The sequence below is a fragment of the Homo sapiens genome, chromosome 8 (assembly GCF_000001405.40).
Source record: "Homo sapiens chromosome 8, GRCh38.p14 Primary Assembly".
Taxonomy (NCBI): domain Eukaryota; kingdom Metazoa; phylum Chordata; class Mammalia; order Primates; family Hominidae; genus Homo; species Homo sapiens.
Window position 1 is genome coordinate 49,733,557 of NC_000008.11, and position 8,438 is coordinate 49,741,994.

The following is an 8,438-nucleotide window of genomic DNA, read 5'->3' on the forward strand; positions in this document are numbered from 1 at the left end:
GGAGCTGTGATGCAGAGCTGTGTGCACGAGGAGAGTGGGTCAAAATGGAAGGGAGCTCCACTGCTCTCCTCAAGTAAACTGACTTCATTTGGAACAGAATGCGGGGAAGTAGGAAATAGGGTACGCTTACAAACAGTGGAGACCATGGTGATAAACAATTATAAGGAGGCTGGAAGCTCTGAGAAGACAAGCTATACTGTAAGCCAGATACAAAATCGGCAAAGACCTAGGAAAATGGATAGCTAAGAAGATCCCTCCTGGGGTTGGACCAGACCTTAAAGAATAATTTCAAAGAGAGAACTTCAGAAAATAGGCCCACATCTGGGCCAGACACGGTGGTGCATCCCTGTAATCCCAGCACTTTGGGAGGCTGAGGCGGGTGGATCACCTGAGGTCAGGAGTTCAAGACCAGCCTGGCTAACATGGTGAAACCCTGTCTCTACTAAAAATACAAATATTAGTTGGGCATGGTGGTGAATGCCTGTAATCTCAGCTACTTAGGAGGCTGAGGCAAGAAAATCGCTTGAACCTGGGAGGTGGAGGTCGCAGTGAGCCAAGATGGTGCCACTGCACTCCAGCCTGGGCAACAGAGAGAGACTCTGTCTCAAAAAAAGAGAGAGAGAAAAAAGAAAATAGGTCCACATTTAACTGTATCAGACTGTGAAACAATGTATGTTCATTGATGAAATAATTATAAAATTAGTGGCCAAAAGAATTATTAGAAACAGAAAATTTTCATAGTTTCAAAGTACTTCTTCATAAGATACTTACTAATTACAAAGGGAAAATAATAACTTTACAATGGAGAAAACTGTTGGACAACACCCTAACCAGGTGAGTCAAAAGGATATGACCCATAGGCAGTGTCACTGACCCATGTGTGTGTACTGAGATGTGTGTACTGAGAAGGAGGCAATGCTACTTTGTGGTTTTCTTGCCCCAAAATTAATAACCTGAATTTTATCATGAGGAAACATTATTAAAGCCCAGTCTGAAGCTCAATCTGTAAGATAACTGGCCAATTCTCTTCAACAGCGTAAGGGAAGACTGAGGAACGGGATCAAGTTGGGGGAGGCTGTGGAGTTAGCACATCAATGTGCAATGTTGTTTCTGAATTGGATTCTGGCCCGGGAAAAGGACGTTAGTGAACAATCAGAAATGTGGATGTGATTTTTAGACTATTTAGTAGTATCCCATTGATGTGGATTTCCTGATTATAGTAATTTTGTTGTTGTTGCATGGAAAGTGAAAATTTGGAGATGCTGAGTGACGATATAGAAAAATGCATTGTACTATTTTTGCCACTTATTTCTGGCTAAAATTTATGCAAGAAACCAGTTAAAAATATAAAAATATTTTAAAACAAACACAAATAATAAAAGTAACTCTTCCCCTTCTATTAAAACAAATACACAGGCTATGACACTACATACCCATCTGGAAGGCTGAAATGAATAAGACAAAGCTCGTTGTCTATAACTTTGTGGAGTAACTGGAACTCTCAACACAGTAAGTGGGAGGGTAAATTTATACAACCATAGTGGAAAACATTTTGGCAGTATCTACTAAAGGTTCACGCGTGCCAGTCTTACATTATAGGAAATCCACTCCTAGTTAAATGCCTAACACACATTTACAAGGATGTTTACTCCAGTATTATCCAAACTCCCAGAGAAAACAGGCCAAATGCTGATCAGCAGTGGAACAGATAAGTGCAACATGCTCCATTCACCAATGGAACATTCAGACAGCAATAACTATAATTATACAAAACCATATGCATAAATATCCTAAACATAATGTTGAACAAAAGAGTATATACCCTATATTTCCATTCATATGAATTCCACATATGGGAAAAGCGTATCTGTGATTTTTGACTTCAGGAGACTGTTATTTTGGGGTAGGTAATGTCTGGGAGGAGGCACAGGATGGCTGGTGCAGTTTTCTGTTTATCTGGTGTGCTGTGAAAGGTGATTATCTGAATTGGGTCATTCTTTTTATAACCAACTAAATCAGAATCCAGGGGCCAGGAGTGAAAAGTGCTCAGGGTACATAACATTGCTTTGGAAATGTAATTGTCTAAAAATCCAGTGGCTAAAATTACCTGTTGTAAGCTGAGACCAGTTTTATCTATGGCTGCTAGGATAGTATGCTACAACTCTAGGACTGATTTTGACAACTAGTCACCCACCAATGGAGCTTGCCAACTCCTCAGAGCTCACTTAGTCCTAATGAACTTTCTCTCAGGACCGCATGTAAACTTCATCTTCTTAAGAACACTTCCAACCTTCTTTTTGTCCTTTAGACATACAAAAAATACTCGGTCTTTATGCATGCCTCCAAATGCCATTGTTTCTTCTCAAATAAAATGTTAAATTTACAGATTCATTTGTATATTATTTTAACTTCAATATAACTTTGTAAAATTTATTAAACTGTCTTTACAATACTTTGTATATATATATATGTATATATACACACAAATATATGTTGTAATAAAAGTTTGGGGAGGCTGAGGTGGGCAGATCACGAGGTCAGGAGATTGAGACCATCCTCGCTAACATGGTGAAACCCGGTCTCTACTAAAAATACAAAAAACTAGCTGGGTGTGGTGGCAGGCCCCTGTAGTCCCAGCTGCTCAGGAGGCTGAGGCAGGAGAATGGTGTGAACCCGGGTGGCGGAGCTTGCAGTGAGCAGAGATCGCGCCACTGCACTCCAGCCTGGGTAACAGTGCGAGACTCCCTATCAGAAAAACAAACAACAACAACAACAACAACAACAACAAAGTTTTATTTGTTTTCTAAATATGTACATATAGGATTTTCCTAAATCTTAACTTGTTTTTCAGCTATTGCTTTGTCTGTCTCCTATTCATCTTTCTGTTTCTCGCATTTATCCTTCAAACTACTGTGCTAGGTCTTCCATCTACATTATGATATTAAATCATTCAGTGCTTTCTAATGACCAGTAACGAGCTTTTAAATTCAGTATTTGGCATTTTTTTTTCTGCCTTCTGAATCTTGAAACCCTTCTTGATTACTTTACTTCTTTTTCCAGAATTCCATGTGAATGAAGCTTACTTTGCCAGGTATTCTGTTAAGCAGGAAATAAGTATCACTAAATAACAGAAAATGCACTGACTAAATCAGCATAGGGGAATTGTCAAACATTTTAGAGATGGGGGAGAAATGGAAATTGCTGCAATTGACTTAAAAAGCTTTTCTTTGTCATCTCAGTCCTCATGACCTCCGTGATTGTCCTCATACCTGTGCAGCATGGTCTTGCCTCAGGGCCTCGGCCCTGTATGGACCTCCTGGGGAAGGTGGTACACCCAAGAATCTTCAGGGCACCCTCACTCGTCTCTTCAGGCCTCTGTGAAAATCAGCCTCCTTCCACACCTGATAGAATGGGTCTCCTCACCTGCTTCTTCCTTCCTGTGTTCAGCATTCCTCACCACATATGTTCTGATAGTGGTTTTTATTTGTTTACCCTCTCTAACTCCCTTTAGCATCATTAATGCAGGTATTTCCTCCTGTTCATTCACCACAGTAAGCTCACTGCTCAGAGCGGTGCCGTTGAGCTATTTAGAAGGATGTCAATCAATGTCTCTTGAACTCATGGAATATTGGTTGAATGTTGATTCTTTCATAAGAACTTTGTCAATTGCATGTGGAGGTGAAATATTGTATTATTACATTGAAATATCCATTAAATTAAGAATTAGATTACATTAAAAGAATAAAGAGAAATAATAATTGGGTGTGTTCAATTCTAGGAATGAAAAGATATAAAAAAGAAAACCGAGTTAATAAAGGCTTTGTGGAAGACAGAAAGTTTGAGAAGCAACATGCCAGGTAAATTAAAGTAGTATTTGCATCAAAGAGAACTAATGTACAAGAAAATCTTATTTTTATCTGGCATATAATGAGAACAAGCAATGCTGTCATGTCTGAATATTACTTCATCTTAGTAATTCATATGACATTTAATCATTAGCTCATAAATACACATAAATTCCCATTCAAAGAGATTTGAATGGATGATATGTTAACTTTGTTCTACACCTAAGCAAATTAAAAGAGAGAAGAGAAATGACATGGCCAAGGTCAAACAACAATTTATGATTAAACCCAGAAATTCCAATTTTTCTGAATTGTCACATCATCCTTAATGGCAGGCACTCATTCTTTCTCTATTGTAGACTTTGTCTGCCAATAATTTATTTTTGTTTATGTGTTTACAAAAATGCCACCAACATATAGTTAGGACCAATCATTTCTTTGGATTTAGTCAAAAATGTTAAATTATTCAATTAGAATTGGTGCTTCATACTTCTCTAAAATTAAGTTTAGCATTTGTTGACTTTTCAATCATTTAAAAATTCACAAATATATTTCAGCTTATTCTTCAAGGAAAATTTTAGGTAAAGAAACTCAGGAATTGAACTTGAAATCTCAGCACAGCTACTTCTATTCATATTCCAAAGTGAGGAAGGGCTTATAATATTTTTGAGATTAAAAGAGGAGATAACATGCTCAAGGTCACGTAAGCAATAGTCAGGTCAGTATTTGATTTCTATCCTGAATGATTCCAAAGCTCTTGACTTTTTATATTGCTGTGCTTTTCCTTAGAAGAGACTGAATACTCCAGCCTAGAGAATATTCAAGTCCTACTAAAATGGCACTAACAAATTACCCCAGTATGGCCACATTTGGACAAGATACCTTGAGCATCTTTTCATGCCAGGAAGCAAGAAAGTACTTAAATGAAAAAAGAAAGAAAACAGTGAAGGTAGGGGCCACAGAGTCAACTAAAAGATGGCCAAAAAATGGAATAAGTTAATCACGAAAATAAAAAAGTACTATAGCCAAAGTATAAAATAAAATTCATGTATATATACTGATATAAATAAATGATTGAGTAAGTAATATATGTGAGAAAGAAGACAAATTTCTTGTACAGAAGAAGTCCAAATAATTAATGTAGATGTTTTAGTTTCAAGGAGGAAGAACATAACCCCCTATCCCTTAAGTGTAAGCATAATAGCTTTCTTCTATAGCGTATGGTATGAAAAGGATGGGATGAGGAAAAGCCACTTCACAGTGCAAAAACCTGACAAACACTACCTCAGCCAGGTGACCAAGCTCCATATATCAGTAGTAAGTCACACCGATAGTGTGTACCCTTGAGATAACGTGATGAGAATGACATTTTACCTCAAAGGTTTTGTTTCTGTGAACCAAACCCCTAACTCTGGTCTAATCATGAGAAAACCATTAGACAAACCCCAAATGAAGGACAAAATACCTGACCAGTACTTCTCAAAATTATCACTGTCAATGTCAGATTAAACAAGGAAAGTCTGAGAAACTGTCATGACACATCAAAGGAGTATTTGATGATACTTCCTTGTATCATCAAAGAAGACAAGGTAAATAAATGAAATATGGTATCATGAATGAGATCCTGGAATAGAAAAAGCATATTAGGTAAAAACGAATACAATCTGAATAGCTGAGACAAATGAACACTTGTAATAAAAGATGTCAGTAATACTGGAAACTAGATGTGGGGTACATGGGAACACTTTGTACTATCCTTGCAACATTTCTGTCTATGTGAAAGTGTTCTGAAAATTTTTTTAGATGCTTTAGGACTTTAATGTTCTTCACATATTCAACATAAAATACTGACAATAGATAAACAATAGGGGAAAGACTTTTCAGCAAAGTATCACTGTCGTCGTTAAACATTACAAAGAAAACAGTCAAGAAAAGAAAGGATAAGATTATTTAACAGAAGTGCTTAGTTTAATGGCATAATTAAAAAACAACCAACCTGTCAACTTTATCTTCTACCTATGGAAATAACAGTAAAAATGAATCAAGAACTTCTAGATCTTTTTCATAAAACAGCTTGAAAAGAGGAAGGGGAAGACTAGGGAGGGGGTGAAACTATTACTAATGGAATGCTATGATGCACAAAGTCAAGGATTTAATAAATTCTAAAAGTCTCTACATGTATCAGTGATAACCGTATTATTAGAAATATAAATTCATAGAAATATAAAGCATATGGTATTAACAACACACCTTGCTAATATAAACATAGATAAAGTATGTAACTTCTCTTGTAATAACAGTATAAACATTGATCTACAGTTTTCCCTTTGCCTGGTACTCTTAAACCACTACTCCAATGATTAATGTTGACCTTGAATCAACAGCCGCTGAACCCAGGAGACCCCACAGATGTCTAGATTCAGCACCTAGAGGGCCCCATCTACCTCTGTGCTGTGTGTTCCCATGACTCCAGAAATACTTAATTGCAACTTGCATTATTATATCCACAGGAAGCTTTTAAATCTAACTAGAAAGAGTAGCAGCAAAGGCAAAATAAGCTGGAATTTGTTAGAAAAGCAATGAGATTTTTGAAAATGCTTCCAGTTCAAATCAGAATTAAGGTGAACATTACTTCACACCAGCTTTGCAGAGCTGTAGATGTTTTGCTGTTGTTCTTTCAAAAAAGAAAAATCTATAATAAACATGTTCATTTGAGAAAAAATACTGTGTTTGTTAACTTTTTGTAGCCATCCCCAAGTTACTTTAAACTTTGTATGTTGTTTAATAACAGAGTATATTCTGGTTAGGATGTGTTCATAGCTGACGCATCTCCAAAAATTTTTTCATGAAGGCGGCCAGCTCCTGAACATCTTCAATTGTGACAGAATTATACAGAGAGGCCTGGATGCTTCCCACAGACCTGTGCCCTTTCAAGGACAACATATTGAGTTTCAAAAGCTTTATCGAGAAATCTTTTTACTAAAGCATCATCTCCTTTGACATTGCCAATGCAGAACGGAATATTCATCTTGCTTCTATTTTGGGTCTCCACTGGACATACGTAGAATCCTTGAGAATTATCAGTAATCTCATAAATCATTTGGGATTTGATGGAGCTAAGCTTCTCCATGGCAGCAGCACCTCCATTGTTTTTAGTCCATTCCAGGAGCAAGCCCATGATGTAGATGCTGAAACATGGAGGCGTGTTGTACGAGGAGCTGTTTCCAGCCTGCACTTTGCATTCCAGTACTGAAGGGGACTCTCGGAGGGCAAACCCCAGTTGGTCATCACGGACTATCACCACAGTGACCCCAGCAGAGCCAACATTCTTCTGGGCACCAGAAAAAATCACATCAAACTTGGAAACATCCACTGGCTTCGACAGGAAGTTTGAGAACATGTCACAAACCAGTACTGCTCCTTTGACATCGGGTATAAAGTCAAATTCCACGCCACGCACCGTCCCATTTGCACAATAATACACGTAGGAGGCTTCCGGGTTGAGGTTCCAGGTGCTTGGATCTGGAATTTAGGTATAACTCCCAAGTTTAGAGTGAACAATATTTATAGTCCCAGGCTTCTTCTACAGCCTTAGCTGACCAAGCTCCTGTCACCACATAGTCCGCACTCCTTCCTGCTTTCAAGCCAATCAACTTTAAGGGGACAGCACTGAACTGGCTCGACCCACCTCCTTGCACAAAAATCACCTCGTAGTTGTCTGGAACAGCTAGCAATCCCCGCACAAGATTCTCTGCATTGTTAATAATCTTGATAAAATCTGACGGCCTGTGACTCATTTCAAGAATACTAATGCCAATTCCTTTGTAGTCTAATAATTCCTTTTGTATCTCTAACAACACTGAGTGTGGCAGCTTGGCTGGACCAGGCCCAAAGTTGACTACCTACCTCGGGGCGTCCATGCTGCGGCAGCGTGTGTGGCGAGTCAGCCAAGGAGGACTGAGCATGTGAACTGCGAGCGTTCCCGGCCGCTGCGGTGCGAGTCTGACTGTTCTGAAATTAAAAAAAAAAAAAAAAAAAAAAAAAAAACAAAAAACAGTGTGCATAAAACACATGCTTATGTATATGATCAAATGATATTCAACAATTTATAAATATTACATAAACGATTTATTTTAACAACCCAATGGTGGGTGCTATCATCATCTCCATTCCATTCCCCAGATGAAAAAACTGGGTCTCAGGGATGCTCTGTAACTTGCCCAAGATCAGAGAGCTCAGGCACATGTCTGGTGTGTCAAACTGTCTAGCCTGAATTTCGGGTCTGTATCCTTCAACTGTATAGTGTGCTGTTTTTGGTATATAAAACTTTTATCCAGCCTAATTTCTGAATTTTCATTTTTCTTTATGAAAGTATTTTGCTATTTAGAATAAAATACGTTTTAATTCTATTCATTTTATACTTAAGGAAGTTTGTCTCTAGGCTTTATAACCATATTTTAGTTTTGTTGTAAACAGGAAATGACAAACAATGAATTTGATGTCTGACAACATTCAAAAGGCTTGGAAGAAACAGCTTATAAAGCAGCTTTTTGATTGCCTAAGGTAAAACTCATAGAAAGATCAGATTCTTTC

The 8,438-nt window shown here is 37.8% G+C and overlaps 1 pseudogene; it reads right to left on the reverse strand.

The window, feature by feature from the left end:
* Positions 5,645 to 7,850, reverse strand: PSAT1P1 (phosphoserine aminotransferase 1 pseudogene 1; annotated as a pseudogene).